The sequence below is a fragment of the Homo sapiens genome, chromosome 7 (genome assembly GCF_000001405.40).
Source record: "Homo sapiens chromosome 7, GRCh38.p14 Primary Assembly".
NCBI classification, from domain to species: domain Eukaryota; kingdom Metazoa; phylum Chordata; class Mammalia; order Primates; family Hominidae; genus Homo; species Homo sapiens.
Window position 1 is genome coordinate 152,642,039 of NC_000007.14, and position 16,055 is coordinate 152,658,093.

Sequence of the window (16,055 nt, forward strand, 5' to 3'; positions counted from 1 at the left end):
TTCCTCTCCCTGCCCAACCCCACCCCTTCCTTAGCCTCTGAAAAAAAAGAAAAAGTAAAAAAAAAAAAAAAAAAAAGAGAAAATTCGGGATTACGTTTGTATGATTTATTTCCTGTTTATGCATCCGACAGTAGTGCATTCATTTTTAATGCTGTCGGGTGCTTCCTTGTATGAATATGCCACCATTTGTTTATCCATTCTGTTGTGAATGGATGTTTGAGTTGATTCTGGCTTTTGTTGTTATGAATAATGCTAATATAAATATATTTATACATCTTTCCTGACACACATGAGCAAGAATCTCTCAAGGATATATGCCACGTTGAAGGGTATTATGTGTATTTAACTTTGAAAAATAATGCCAAACCAGGCGTGGTGGCTCATGCCTGTAATCCCAGCACTTTGGGAGGTCGAGGCAGGCGGATTACAAGGTCAAGAGATCGAGACCATCCTGGCCAACATGGTGAAACCCCATCTCTACTAAAAATACAAAAATTTGCTGGGTGTGGTGGCAGGTGCCTGTAATCCCAGTTACTCAGGAGGCTGAGGCAGGAAAATCGCTTGAACCCGGGAGGCGGAGGTTGCGGTGAGCCGAGATCACGCCACTGCACTCCAGCCTGGCGTCAGAGCGAGACTCTGTCTCAAAAGAAAAAAAAAAAGAAAGAAAAATAATGCCAAGTTCGTTTTCCAGGTGCTTGCACTTCTTTGGTTTGACTTTGCCAGCAGCACAGAGTTGGCATTATTTGTTGCACATCTTCTTCGCGACTCGGTAATGTCAGCCTTTAAATTTCTGTCATCCAAGTGTGCGTGAAATGACACCTTACTGAACTCTTAATTTGTATTTGCAATTACCAATGAGATTGAACATCATTTCATGTTTTTTGACCAGTCCTGTTTCTTTTCTGTGAAATGCCCCTGAATATCCTTTGCCCATTTTTCTACTTATTTTGTCTTGATTTATGTATACGTACATATTTGTGTGCACATATATACACACTTATGAGTATACACACTACATTTTGGTTTTAATATTAAACGTGTTGTTCGCATGGGTTGCAAATATACTCTGTTTGTAGCTTCTCTTTTTGCTTTGTTGATGGAATCTTTGATGAGTAAAAATTATAAGTACTGATGTAATACAGTTTTCAGTTGCATCTTTTTCCATCATGTATCATCCATCCTTGTTACAAGGATTTGAATAGTCCATCCTTTCCACAATGATTTGCTGCTTCTGAAATATGCTAAAGTCCATACGTGTGGGTTTGTTCTGAAGCTCTATATTCTGTTCTACTTGTGTATCCTTTTACCAATAGCATACTCTCACTTTAGCGACAATTTTTTTTTTTTTTTGAGACGGAGTCTTGCTCTGTCGCCCAGGCTGGAGTGCAGTGGTGTGATCTCGGCTTAGTGCAACTTCCGCCTCCCGGGTTCAAGCAATTCTCCTGCCTCAGCCTCCGTAGTAGCTGGGACTACAGGCGTGCGCCACCATGCCCAGCTAATTTTTGTATTTTTAGTAGAGACGGGGGTTTCACTATGTTGGCCAGAATGGTCTTGATCTCTTGACCTCGTGATCCGCCCACCTTGGCATCCCAAAGTGCTGGGATTACAGGCCTGAGCCACCATGCCTGGCCTTAACTACATATCCTTACATCGAATAGGGTAAGTTCCCCTACATCAGCCTCCTTTAAGAACACTTAGCAGCCAGGCTGGGTGCAATGGCTCACACCTGTAATCCCAGCACTTTGGGAGGCCGAGGCAGGCAGATCACTTGTGGTCAGGAGTTCAAGACCATCCTGGCTAACATGGTGAAACCCCGTCTCTAGTAAAAATACAAAAATTAGCCGGGCGTGCTGGCATGCGTCTGTAATCGCAGCTACTCGGGAGGCTGAGGCAGGAGAATTGCTTGAACCCAGGAGGCAGAGGTTGCAGTGAGCTGAGATCGTGCCATTGCACTCCAGCCTGGGCGAAGAAGCAAGCCTCTGGAAGAAAGAAAGAGAGAGAGAGAGAGAGAAGAAAGAACACTTAGCTCGGATCTCCCTTTGAAAGTGAGTTATCTGACAGCGTCCAGCTAAAGTGCCTTTTGCTCTGCCACAGTATATGAGCTGAGGTCATGTGCTCCTCATGAATACTTCTGCCCAGTGAGGGTGTCCTCCAGACAATCTTTGCATAGGAGTTCCCTGGTGGACAGGCCAAGACTTTCTTTGAGCTGTGCTGTCAGTCTGAAGTTCTTCCTCCCAATTCTTCCTGCCTCCTTCCTTCCACCGGTGTCAGGCCCTAAGGTTTTCCCTGCCTCATTCTGCCCCCTCTTGTCTTTCACCTCTTATGCTCCTGACATCATTTTTGCAGCTGCCTCCTGGCGGACCTGAGCGGATACAAGGGGCTCCAGGATTCCTGGCTCCTCGCTGTACTAAATTTAAGAATCAGTTCCAAAATGAAGCAAAACAAAAATAGTTTTGTTGGGATTTTGACAGTAATTGCATTGGATCAATTGCTCAGTCGCAAAACTGACATCTTTATATTAATGACACTGAGTCTCTCAATCACAAACATGCTACTTCTCTCCATTTATTTAGGGGTTCTTTAACCCTTTTTCCCATTTGTCCTGAGAATACTCACCGGCAGTGCTTACAGCTGCAGCGTTTACCCCGAGATAACTTTGCCACGAAATATCTCGCTTTTATGATTATTTTCACATCGCTCTAGTATATCGACTTTAGAAACAAAAGACATCATTCTATTTATAGCATTCTGTCTTTAGTAGTGGTATTTCCATTTACAAAACATAGTAATTCTTGATCGCTGAAAATGTCAAATCCTGGAAAATGTAGTATTCCTACACGTGATGTTAACATCGTTCTCAACAGTTAGCCGAAGATTCATTCGATGAGTCCGATTTTTCTGAAAGAGATGATTCTGATGATTCAGATGATTCTGATGTTAGTTCTGTTTAGAAATAACTCCAAGAATAGTTTTTATATTTTATTTTCACATTGAAAATCAGTAAGATTTGCTTCAGCCTCCAAGAGTGTGTTTACGTAAAATTAAATGAGCGCTGGCAGTGAGCTGCACTTTTTTTTTCTAAATGGGAAAAGGGTTAAACTCTGCTTCTTACAATAAAGCTTTGTAATTTTCTCCAAAAAGGTCTTGCATATTTTTATTAGATTTATTTCTAGAAACTTTATATTTTTAGTTATGATTAAATATTATATATATTTAAAATTCCATTTTCTTTTTTAAAATTTATTTTTATAGAGACAGGGTCTTACACTATGTTGCCCAGGCTGGTCTTGAACTCCTAGGACTCAAGCAATCCTCCCTCCTTGGCCTCCCAAAGTGCTGGGATTACAGTTGTGAGCCACTGCACTCAGCCTAAAATTCTATTTTTTAATTCTGTTGCTGGTACTTAGAAAAACTTAAATGTTGATGTTTTAGCTCGCAAATTTGCTAAACTCTTAATTCTAATAATCTGCTTATAGATGATATTGGATTTCCATACATACAATCATCTAACCTTTAAAGAATGACAGTTTTGTTTCTTCCATATGCCTTTTTTTCATGCTTTTTCATTTTCCTTGCTTTACTGTGTTGACACTTTCAGTACAATGTTGAATACAAGTAGTAATAGCAGGCACTCTTGTTCTTGATTTTAAAAGAGACACTTCTAATATTTCACTATTAACTAATGTTTACTGAGGGATTTTTGTATATACCTTTTATCAATTCAAGGGACTCAGCTAGGCAAGGTGGCACACACCTGTAATCACAGCTACTTTGGAGGCTGAGGTGGAGGCTCACTGGAACCCAGGAGTTCGAGGCTGCAGTGAGTTATGATGCCACTGCACTCCAGCCTGGGCAACGGAGCGAGACCTTGTCTCTAAAAATAAAACAGCAAATATGTATTTTAAAAACCAGCCTAAAACTGTCATTTTAACTGGAGTCCTCAGTCCCTTTGCATGTAATGTAATGATTGGTGTGGATGGAGTTAAATACACCATCTCCTCTGTGCTTTGGATCTGTCCTGCTGTATTCGGTTCTTTTAAATTTAAAAATCAGCCCACCATTTTCCTGTTTCATTTTAAAGTTATGCCCCTTTTCTATCCTTGAGTGGTTAAGAAATCAAAAGGTGCAGACCCTTTATCAATGTCTAATGTTGATACTTTTCCCCTTCTCCCGGACAATGCAAGGACCTTAGCACACTAATTCTTCTGCTCCTAATGTCAAATTATATGCTTTTCTTGCCACGTATTCTAAGTCTGTGAGAGGGTGTGTGTGTGTGTGTGTGTGTGTGTTGTTCCCTTCTTTGTATCCAGGAGTTCTCATCATTTAGCTCCCACTTATAAGTGAAAACATGCAGTATCTGGTTTTCTGTTCCTATGTTAGTTTGCTAAGGATAATAGCGTCCAGCTCCATCCATGTCCCTGGCAAAGGTATGATCTTGTTCCTTATATTTTATTTTTTATTTTTTAGAGATGGAGTCGCCCAGGCGGGAGTGCAATGGCGCGATCTCAGCTCACTGCAACCTCCACCTCCTGGGTTCCAGCAATTCTCCTGCCTCGGCCTCCTGAGTAGCTGGCACTACAGGCACGCACCACCATGCCCAGCTAATTTTTTGTATTTTAATAGAGATGGGGTTTCACCGTGTTGCCCAGGCTGGTCTTGACCTCCTGAGCGCGGGCAATCCACCCACCTCGGCCTCGCAAAGTGCTAGGATCACAGGCATGAGCCACCACGCCCAGTCAGTCTTGTTCCTTTTTATGGCTGTATAGTATTCCCTGGTGTGTATGTACCACATTTTTTTAATCCAGTCTGTCACTGATGGGCAGTGCTGCAACGAACATACGCGTGCATGTGTCTTTATAACAATGATTTCTATTCCTTTGGGTATATACCCAGTAATGAGATTGCTGGGTTGAATGGTATCTCTGTCTTTATCCCCACACTGTCTTCCACAATGGCTGAACTAATTTAATTTACATTTCCACCAACAGTGTATAAGCATATCTTTTTCTCCACAACCTCACCAGCATCTGTTATTTTCTGACATTTTTATAATAGCCATTTGGACTGGTGTGAGATGGTATCTCGTTGTTGTTTCGATTTGCATTTCTCTAATGATCAGTGATGCTGGGCTTTTTTCCATAGGATTGTTGGCCACAGATGTCTTCTTTTGAAAAGTGTCTGTTCATGTCCTTTGCCCACTTTTTAATGGGGTGGTTTTTTCTTCTAAATTTGTTTAAATTACGTATAGATGCTGGATTTCAGACCTTTCTCAGATGCATAGTTTGCAACAATTTTCTCCCATTCTGTAAGCTGTCTGTTTACTCTCTTGATAGTTTCTTTTGCTGTGCAGCTCTTTAGTTTAATTAGATCCCATTTGTGAATTTTTGCTTCTGTTGCAATTGTTTTTGGCGTCTTCGTCATGAAATCTTTGCCTGTGCCTATGTCCTGAATGGTACTGCCTGGGTTGTCTTCCAGGATTTTTACTGTTTTGGGTTTTACATTAAGTCTTTAATCCATCTTGAGTTAATTTTTGTATATGGCATAAGGAAGGCGTCCATTTTCAATCTTTTCCATATGGCTGGCCAGTTATCCCAGCACGATTTATTGAATAGAGAATCCATTGCCCATTGCTTGTTTTTGTCAGGTTCATCGAAGATCAAAAAAATTATAGGTGTGTGGTCTCATTTCTAAATTCTCTATTCTGTTCCATCAGTCTACGTGTGTTTTTGTGCCAGTACTATGCTGTTTTGGTTACTGTAGCCTTGTAGTATAGTTTGAAGCTGGGTAGCGTGATGCCTCCAGCTTTGTTCTTTTTGCTTAGGATTGCCTTACTATCAATATTTCTTTAGATTTACTCAAGTACTTACCATTTACTCATTATTACTTCTTACCTCTCAGATTTACTTTCTGAGATAATCTTTTAAAAGTTCCTTTGTGAAGAAATATTGGTGGTAAATTAATACAAAGTTTAATTGCTAAAATCACTTTGATTCAACAGCCTAGAAACAGAATAGTCTTTACTTTTACTGTGCTAGTTTAACAAATCCATTCTGTAAAGAAATACTGTTAATTCCCCTAGAGTTTAAAACTTTAGGGCTGGGCACGGGCCTGTAATCCTAGCACTTTGGGAGGCCGAGGTGGGTGGATCACTTGAGGTCAGGAGTTCGAGACCAGCCTGGCCAACATGGTGAAACCCCGTCTCTATTAAAAATACAAAAATTAGCCAGGCGTGGTGGTGGGTGCCTGTAATCCCAGCTACCTGGGAGGCTGAGGTGGAAGAATCACTTGAACCCAAGAGGCAGAGGCTGCAGCGGGCCGAGATTGTGCCACTGCACTCCAGCAGCCTGGGAGACAGAGTAAGACTGTTTCAAAAAGAAAAAAAAAAAAAAAGAAAACTTTTGGCCACGAGCAGTGGCTCACGCCTGTAATCCCTGCACTCTAGGAGGCACACATAGGAGGATCCCTTGAGGCCAGGAGTTCAAGGCTGCAGTGAGCCATGATTGTGCCACTGCACTCCAGCCTGGGAGACAGAGCAAGACTCTGTCTTAAGAAAAATTTTAAGGCTTGCGTAGTACCCTGCAAAAGACTATTTTATGATGTATATCAACAAAATTCAACCCCACTTTCTCCAATAATAAAAAAATGTTTTTTTAAACTGTTACTTTTTAAACAACGTGAAACTAATGAAAATTGGTTGCTGCTTTGAGAATCATCTTGTTTGGAGAAAAACATCCTGTGCTTCACCAGTTGCTGCCATGCCTTACAGAGATAAGGTCTGTAGTCTATGTCCACATCACACAGTCGTCGAGAGGCATGAGAAGGTTCTTCTGATGAGCTCGAGGCTTTCTGCATTATAGTTTGTGTCGTTGCAAAAAGAACCAGGCGATAGTCATTTACAAGCTTCTCTAAGCACTGAGAACATTTCCTCAGAGTAGACTCCTGTAAGTTCACACTTTCTCCTCCATTGACGCGGTCTATCCAGTAAAAAGCTGACAGGCTATCCAAAATCAAAAGGCAGAGAGATGGGTGACTACAAAACATACTTTCTAGTGAGTAAAGTGTAAGAAGTAAGTGGGTGCTACTACTGCAGTACACCAAAAAAAATCTTCCCAGGCAGTATTTGATTATTTCTTCAGAGCTTTGGGATAGTCTGTGCTCAAGAATTGTAACTAGCCGGAGCATATCAAAGTGGTAATCTGTATCAATAAATAAGACTTCTACTTCCAGGCCACCTTCTGATTTGGGAAGTATACATCGTGCTGTTAGGTGATAAAGCATTTCTGTTTTTCCTGTTCCTTCTGGGCCATGAAATTCAAGAATATCACCTGTGTAAAATTTAAAAATCTCAGTCAAAATGCAGTAGCTCAAGGGTAGGTTACAAAATGCAAAGTCTGCAAAAAAGTTTAAAAAGACACTTACTGGAATGTGAAAGAAAATCTAAATTCACTTTTGCCAAAATGGAGCTGTACAAGCAAATACAATAAATAAGGAAATTAGAGCCTGGTGGGAAGGTTGGAAGAGGCTAGGGGACTCTCCTCCGGCCAGGCTCACATGCACTCCCACTTCAATTTGTAAGATTCAAAAATAAAGAGCCACAGATCTAGGGCCTTTCCAAAATCTGATGACTACAGTACACACCCTTTCTGGTAGTTGATTACACTATATCCATTCTTCCCTTCTTCCTAAAGTATAAAACCCAATTTGATGGGGAGGGAAATGTGTCCACTTTAAAACTATTTTTCATAGTCTCCTTTGAAAAGCAAGGTTACCAGGTAACACAGCTGTCGCCAGTGAGATGCAGGCTGCTCTCTGTTGATGATTCTTTCCTATCCAGGGACCCCTTCTGCCCTGCCGCACCCTCCTGTGGGGGTGGAGCAGCCATCTGGAAGCAGTGAGGATGAAACCCACCCTTAGGATGGTGGCGTGGAAGACAGAAGGTACCCAGGACTCTGGGCACACGGAGCCCCCACCAGCCACGCACAGCCTGCCTCTGTGCCACTCAGGATGTGAGGAAAACAAGCCTCCACCTGGGCAAGCCACTAAGTTGGACTTCTATGACACGCAGGTGAAGGCACTCCCTAATTAGGTTTCTCAGTGTTATTGATGTTATGGGGGGAACAATTCTGGATTTTGTGGTTTCACACATTATTGAGGCAAGAGCCCATGGCTCTCAGACCCTAAATGCCAACAGCATCCTTCAACTGAAAACAACCTTACACGTTCCCAAACTGCCTTCAGTTATTCTTTGCTATTTGAATTATCTCTGGAAACCATGTCCAGCTGCATTAGAAATTATTTTCCTAGCATTAAAAATCAAAGTCAACTACTCTGAACGTTAAAGACTCCAACTCTCCTTCTATCTAGGCTCGAATAACTAAGGACAGCACAAGTTAAATCAAACAACACTGGGGAAGTTGCCTTGCTTCCAGAGCTTTTCAAAATGCACTCACAGTGGCATTCAACTCTTGCTTGTCATTATTAATTTACGGCTGAACTACCTGATTGGAAACACTATGTTAAAATGCCAATTATTAGCCCCAACCAAATGATGGTCTAAATACGGATTCAAGGGCTGGGCGCAGTGGCTCACGCCTGTAATCCCAGCACTTTGGGAGGCAGAGGCGGGAGGATCACCTGAGGTCAGGAATTCAAGACCAGCCTGGCCAACATACTGAAACCCTACTAAAAATACAAAAAATTAGCTGGGCATGGTGGTGGGCACCTGTAATCCCAGCTACTTGAGAGGCTGAGGCAGGAGAATCACTTGAACCTGGGAGACAGAGGTTGCAGTGAGCTGAGATCACGCCATTGGACTCCAGCCTGGGCGACAAGAGCGAAACTCCGTCTCAAAAAACAAAAACAAAAACACAAAAAAATGCAATTACTTTATTTCTTATTATTTAATTTTAATTTTTTTTTGAGATGGAGTCTTGTTCTGTTGCCTAGGCTGGAGTGCAGTGGTTCAATCTTGGCTTACTGCAACTTTCGCCTCCTGGGTTCAAGCAATTCTCCTGCCTCAGCCTCCCGAGTAGCTGGGATTACAGGCGTGCGCTACCGCGCCCAGCTAATTTTTGTATTTTTGGTAGAGATGGGGTTTTGCCATGTTGGCCAGGCTGGTCTCGAACTCCTGACCTCAGGTGATCTACCCACCTCGGCCTCCCAAAGTGCTGGGATTACAGGTGTGAACCACCGCACCTGGCCTTTCTTATTATTATCAACAAACCGTTGTATATTGGAGTATTCACAAATAATGTATAAGAAATCTAGGCTGGGTACAGTAGCTCATGCCTGTAACTCCCAGCACTTTGGGAGGTCAAGGCAGGAGGATCACTTGAGCCCAAGAGTTCAATATCAGCCTGGTCAATATAGTGAGACCCCAACTCTACAATTAAAAAAAAAAAAAAAAAGCCACCCATGGTGGTGTGCATCAGTAGTCCCAGCTAATTGGGAAGCTGAGGTTGGAGAATCAGTTGAACCCAGGAGGTAGAGGCTGCAGTGAGCCAAGACTGCACCAAATTTCCACCATAATCTTACATACAACTTGCAATTCTAAATTTACCTTAAGAAGAAATTTAAAAAATGATTCCACCTCAGCCTCTCAAGTAGTTGGGACTACAGGCATGTGTCATCATGCCTGGCTAATTTTTGTATTTCTTGTAAAGACTGGGTTCCACCATGTTGCCCAGGCTGGTCTTGAACTCCTGGGCTCAAGTGGTCTGCCTGCCTCAGCCTCCCAAAGTGCTGGGATTACAGGCATGAGCCACCATGCCTGGCTTCAGCTTTCTTATAGCATAGTATGTTATCAGTTCTCATAGACTTCTCTTTTGTATTTAAGAATTCTACACATGGCTGGGCATAGTGGCTCACATCTGTAATCCAGCACTTTGGAAGCTGAAGTGGGAGGATCACTTGAGCCCAGGAGTTCATGACGAGCCTGGGCAACATAGGGAGACCCTGCCTTTACAAAAAATTAAAAAAAAGAAATAGCCGGGCGTGGTAGCATGTGCCTACAGTCCCAGTCTCAGCTACTCAGGGTGAAGTGGGAGCCTGTGAGGTTGAGGCTACGGTGAGCCATGATCATGCCACTGCACTCTAGCCCAGACAACAGAGGGAGACCCTGTCTCTAAAAAGAAAAGAAAAGAAAAAAAAAAAGATTCTAGGCTCAAGGAGTAAAACTATTTTCATATTAACAATTGTCCATCTAATTAAAAGTTAACATAGCAACTAAACCTGTATTCCACCCAGATGTTCAGTGTGCCCTCTCTTACTATGTTACTGAGGAGCTATGCTGAACCCGCCACTCCTGCCAAGCATCTTTTACTGCCCTATGTGATAGAGAACAAGGGACCATGCAGAAGCGCAGACGGGGAAACCAAGAAGCAGACCACAGCAAATCCTCCCTCTCCTGCTCCCATAGAGGCAGCCAGAGAGGCCGACCCACAGCTACTCACCTTTCTAGAGTACTGCATGCCTTAAAGAGGCTGCTTCAGACATATCCTGTTTGCTCCTAATAACACTGAGGTAGGGAAAGCAAACTCTATCATCTCCCATCATCACACAGATCACACTATATAATCACTATTTACTTGATTACATTTCCTGCTAGCTTCTCTAAGGTTGGGACTTGAGTATTCTGTCCCCAGCACAAAACCCAGGATCTTCTGAATGTGCTTCATCAGTTACCTTCTTCTCAAGATCCTCTTGAGAGACATCTAAAGAATAAAAATATAAGTCTTGGTTTGTGAGGGTTAAGGGCCTAAAAGCCAATTGTGAAACTGGCATTTTAAATGGAAGCGGGTCTGGTAGGGAATGACAGGTGGAGTGTGTGGCTTTGGTGGCAGAGTTCAGCAGGTAAGAAAGTCCTAGACCAGGGTTGACACAGGGACCAACATAGGAGGCAAAGCAAGAGGAGCAAACTGCCAGGTGTGGAGCCTGCTGCCCAGAGACCACAGGGTGCTCACACTTAGCGTGGTGAGGGCCTCAGTTCTGCAGGTGATATGGTTAGGCTGTGTCCCCACCCAAATCTCATTTGAAATCCCACGTATTGTGGGAGGGACCCAGTGGGGGTAATTGAATCATGGGGGCGGGTCTTTCCTGTGCTGTTCTCGTGATAGTGAGTAAGTCTCATGGGATCTGATGCTTATTATAAGGGAGAATTTTCCTGTACAAGCTCTCTTTGCTTGCTGCCATCCACGTAGGATGGGACTTGTTCCTCCTTGCCTTCTGCAATGATTGTGAGGCTTCCCCAGCCACATGGAACTGTAAGTCCAATTAAACCTCTTTCTTTTGTAAATTGCCCAGTCTTGGGTATGTCTTTATCAGCAGCGTAAAAATGGACTAATACAGCAGGTAAACCTAATGTGGTGACTTAAAAGTTCTCAAAGATAGGCTTGGAAGTACCTGCACAAATCAAATACAGACATAAAGTAGACTTTTTTTGAGACAGGGTCTCATTCTGTCGCCCAGGCAAGAGTGTAGTGGCGTGACCTCAGCTCACTGCAACCTCCGCCTCCCAGGCTCAAGCCATCCTCCCACCTCCGCCTCCTGAGTAGCTGGGACCACAGGTGTGTGCCACCACACCTGGGTAATTTTTGTATTTTTTTTGTAGAGATGGAGTCTTGCTGAGTTGCCCAGGGTGGTCTCAAACCCCTGGGTTCAAGTGATCCACCTACCTCAGCCTCCCAAAGTGCTAGACTTATAGGCATGCACCACCACACCCAACCCAAAGTAGAAATTTTTAGTTCACATAATTCACATTGAGTATTCCAGCAAAAATTTAGCTTTCAAAATGGTATGGGTTTTTTAAAATGTTATCTCTAGGTGTCACAAAATGAAAATGTCCTACAGCCACTAAAATTTAAGATTCAAGATGGTAAGCCGGGCGCGGTGGCTCACGCCTGTAATCCCAGTACTTTGGGAGGCTGAGGCAGGTGGATCACCTGAGGTCAGGAGTTCAAGACCAGCCTGGCCAACATGAAGAAACCCTGCTTCTACTAAAAATATAAAAATTAGCTGGGCATGGTGGCACGTGCCTGTAATCCCAGCTACTTGGGAGGCTGAGGCAGGAGAACTGCTTGAACCTGGGAGGCAGAGGGTTGCAGTGAGCCCAGATTGCGCCATTGCACTTCAGCCTGGGCAACAGGAGTGAAACTCCATCTCAAAAAAAAAAAAAAAAAAAGATTCAAGATGGTAGGTAATAAGGGGCTGGTTATAGCAGACTGGGAGTAATCCACACAGAAATAATAGAGAAAAAACAAAAATCTCTTTGATGGGTGGGTATTATGGACCTAAAATTAAGGCCAAAACTAAATTTTTGAGATATATCCACAGTTAGAAGACGCATTAGAAGACAGCTAAAACAGAAATTTAATAGGAAAACCAGGAAGAAAAACATTACAGGGCAAAAGAGAATGTTTCAAGAAAATGAAACTACTAAATAATAAATATAGCAGAAAAGTCATGACAATGAAAAACAGCAGGGAAAAGATCACTGAGTTTGTCCAAAATAGTGACCTTGGAGCATTAATTGTGTAGTCCGCAAAAGCACATTTAACATCTCATTTTGTGAACCAAACTTTTAAAACTGAGATACTCAGAAGACAGGAGACAACGGCACTAGCCTAGGCATTCACTGCTTCTAGAGTAACAGCAAGGACAGAGTGGATTCCCGACGAGTGAAACTGAGGCAAAGAAGTTGAAGGTTAAATCCCTGCCTAAGAGATACTCTTTTTCTTTTACACATTAATAGCAAAGCAGGTATAAAAAAGGCTTTTATAACAACCGGGAAGACACTGCAAACTTGCAAGAGACACATGAATTATCATTAAGGTCCTTGAACTAAATTCCTCACAAATATGTTTAATGATGAACTGAAATCAGTTTTACTGATTTTATAAACATTTACTGTTTGATCCTCAAGATCAAAACCTGTAATCAAATATTATGTCCTACAGAAGGGACATCATCCTTTTCAATGTACTTGAAGTCACCGTCTCATATGTTTCTGTGGCTGCTACAGCATCCTTGTCCAGCCAAATTATGGAACGTGACAACTCGCAGTAAAAAAATCCCTAAGGTTTGGCACTTGAAGATATTAAACTAAATCAGAAAATCTGGATGATTTGGCCTTGACAGTTCCTCTTACAAATAGAACGCTGTAAGGAGTTTGGGTAACAGATTGTCAGAAAGAGTTCTGAATCTAAAGATCCTTCAAAATAAGGAAAAGAAAGGAAAAGCCAAAAAAGCTATCATCTTGGTACCAGCCTACCAATTATATAACAAATATGTTGAATTTGCAGATTATAATCATTATAGAAGTAAAGAAGTAATGAATTGGTACATGGTACTGAATAACTCCTATCCAAAAAAGCATTAAAAATATGTTTACAGGTTGGGCGTGGTGGTTCACGCCCATAATCCCAGCACTTTGGGAGGCTGAGGTGGGCAGATGGCTTGAGCCCAGGAGTTCAAGACCATCCTGGGCAACATGGCAAAACTCCATCTCTACAAAATACACAAAAATTAGTCTGGTGTGGTGGCACACATCTGTGGTCCCAGCTATTCAGGAGGCAGAGGTGCGAGGATCACCTGAGCCCGGGGGTTGGTCGAGGCTGCAGCGAGCCGTCACGGCGCCACTGCACTCCAGCCTGGGCAACAAGAGTGAGACCCTGTCTCAAAAAGAAAAGTTTGGCACTGGGCACAATGGCTCATGCCTGTAATCTCAGCACTTTGGGAGGCTGACACAGGTGGATCACTTGAGGTCAGGAGTTCAAGACCAGCCTGGCCAACATGTTGGAACCCTGTCTCTACTAAAAATACAAAAAATTTGCTGGGCATGGTAGCATCTGCCTGTAATTCCAGCTATTTGGGAGGCTGAGGTTGCAGTGAGCCGAGATCGAGCTGCACTCCAGCCTGGGTGACAGAGTGAGACTCTGTGTCAAAACAAAACAAAACAAAAATAAAAATAAATGTTTGGATGAGAACACATGGACACAGGGAGGGGAACAACAGACACCGGGGCCTGCTGAAGGCATGAGGGGAGGGAGCGCGTCAGGACAAATAGCCAGGACAAGTAACCTAGGTGATGGGTTGATAGGCGCAGCCAACCACCATGGCACGCGTTTATCTATATAACAAACCTTCACGTTCTACACATGTATCCTAGAATTTAAAATTAAATTAAAATAAATTTTAAAAAATGTTCGGATGGGTGCAGTGGCTCACACCTGTAATCCCAGCATTTTGGGAGGCCAAGGTGGGTGGATTCCCTGAGGTTGGGTGTTCGAGACCAGCCTGGCCAATATGGTGAAACCCCATCTCTACTAAAAATACAGATGAGACAGAGCAAGACTCTATCTCAAAAAAAAAGTTTACAATGGCATTGAGACTCTATAACCCCTAAATCTTACTACTTCAACTTAAGCTTTTCTGTAACAAGCTCTGATAAACTTCTATTGTTGATAAATAATCTTTATAATCCCAGTCTTCTATCTGCTATTGTTCCAATGGAATACTCATCTAACTAGTTTTACAGCTATAGGATCTTCAGTAGTTTTCAGTAAACTTTTTTGTTAGTTACTGAACATGATGGTGTTTTTCAACGTTTCTATAATATAATATTCTAATGTAGAAGTTGTTCCACAAACCCATTTTAACATATTGTCAGTTTCATAAGGCTCACCTTAATAATATCCTTCCTTACAGAGAGAGTACAAAGACCATTCTGTTTTTTGTCTTACATATTTGATCAAAATTTGTGTTTTATTATGGAGAATTTTGGTTAGCAAATCTGCTGTACAAAAAATACTAAAGGGAGTCCTGCAGGCTGAATGAAAGGACACAGTTCCTGAAATCCAAATGAGAAAATAAAGAGCACAGGGAAATGTAACTATCTAGGCAAATATAAAAGACAGTACAGGCCAGGTATGGTGGCTCACCTCTGTAATCCCAACACTTTGGGAGGCCAAGGTGGGCGAATCACCTGAGGTCAGGAGTTCAAGAGCAGCCTGGCCAACGTGGTGAAACCCCGTCTCTACTAAAAACAAAAAATTAGCCAGGTGTGGTAGCACACACCTGTAGTCCCAGGTACTGGGGAGGCTGAGGCAGGAGAATCACTTGAACCCAGGAGGAGGAGGTTGCAGTGAGCCGAGATCACACCACTTCACTCCATCCTGGGCGACAGAGTGAGACTCCATCTAAAAAAAAAAAAAAGATAGTATAAACGTGTTTTTGTATTTGTAACTGTTTTTTCATCTATCTGATTTAAGAAGGAAGTTGTTTTTGCGACAGTCTTGCTCTGTTGCCCAGGCTGGAGTGCAGTGGTGCAATCTCGGCTCACTGCAACCTCTGCCTCCCAGGTCCAAGCAATTCTCCTGTCTCAGCCCCCCGAGTAGCTGGGATTACAGGCACCCGCCATCATGCCCAGCTAATTTTTGTAGAGATGAGGTTTCACCATGTTGGCCAGGCTGGCCTTGAACTTCTGACCTCAGGTGATCCACAGACCTCAGCCTCCCAAAGTGCTGGATTACAGGTGTGAGCCACCGCACCTGGCCAGAAAGTATTCTTAAGTGATCATTTTAATTACTTTAATTCAGTAATAATATTAAATGTGCTGATGACCATACAATGTATAAAGATGTAGGGAATACCTATACAGTAAACAAAGCTTTTTACAAAATATGGAAATTAAGTTTGTATTAATCCAACTAGACTGTTAGAAATTATGATCTTACTTGTAATCCCAGGGCAATCACTAGAAAAATAATTCAGAAAAATATAGTGAAAACAATGACAAGGGAATTAAAATGGTACATTAGAAAATATTTAACACAAAAGAAAACAGTAAAGGAGAAAGAAACAGAAAAGACATAAGACATATATAAAAAACAGACAGCAAAATGCAATCATAAACTTTTTGTCTTTGTTTTTTTTTTTCTTTTTCTTTTTGAGACGGAGTCTTGCTCTGTCACCCAGGCTGGAGTGAAGTGGCGCAATCTCGGCTCATTGCAACTTCCACCTCCCAGGTTCAAGTGATTCTCCTGTCTTGACCTCTCAAG

The 16,055-nt window shown here is 42.4% G+C and overlaps 1 protein-coding gene across 1 annotated transcript in view; it reads right to left on the reverse strand.

Moving 5' to 3' along the window:
* The window catches only part of XRCC2 (X-ray repair cross complementing 2), a 31,366-nt gene continuing 18,048 nt past the window's right edge, over positions 2,738-16,055 (reverse strand). The window contains exon 3 of the mRNA NM_005431.2: positions 2,738-7,325. Coding sequence (NP_005422.1) covers positions 6,604-7,325 — 722 coding nt within the window. The 3' untranslated portion in view covers positions 2,738-6,603. The remainder of the gene's footprint in view (positions 7,326-16,055) is intronic.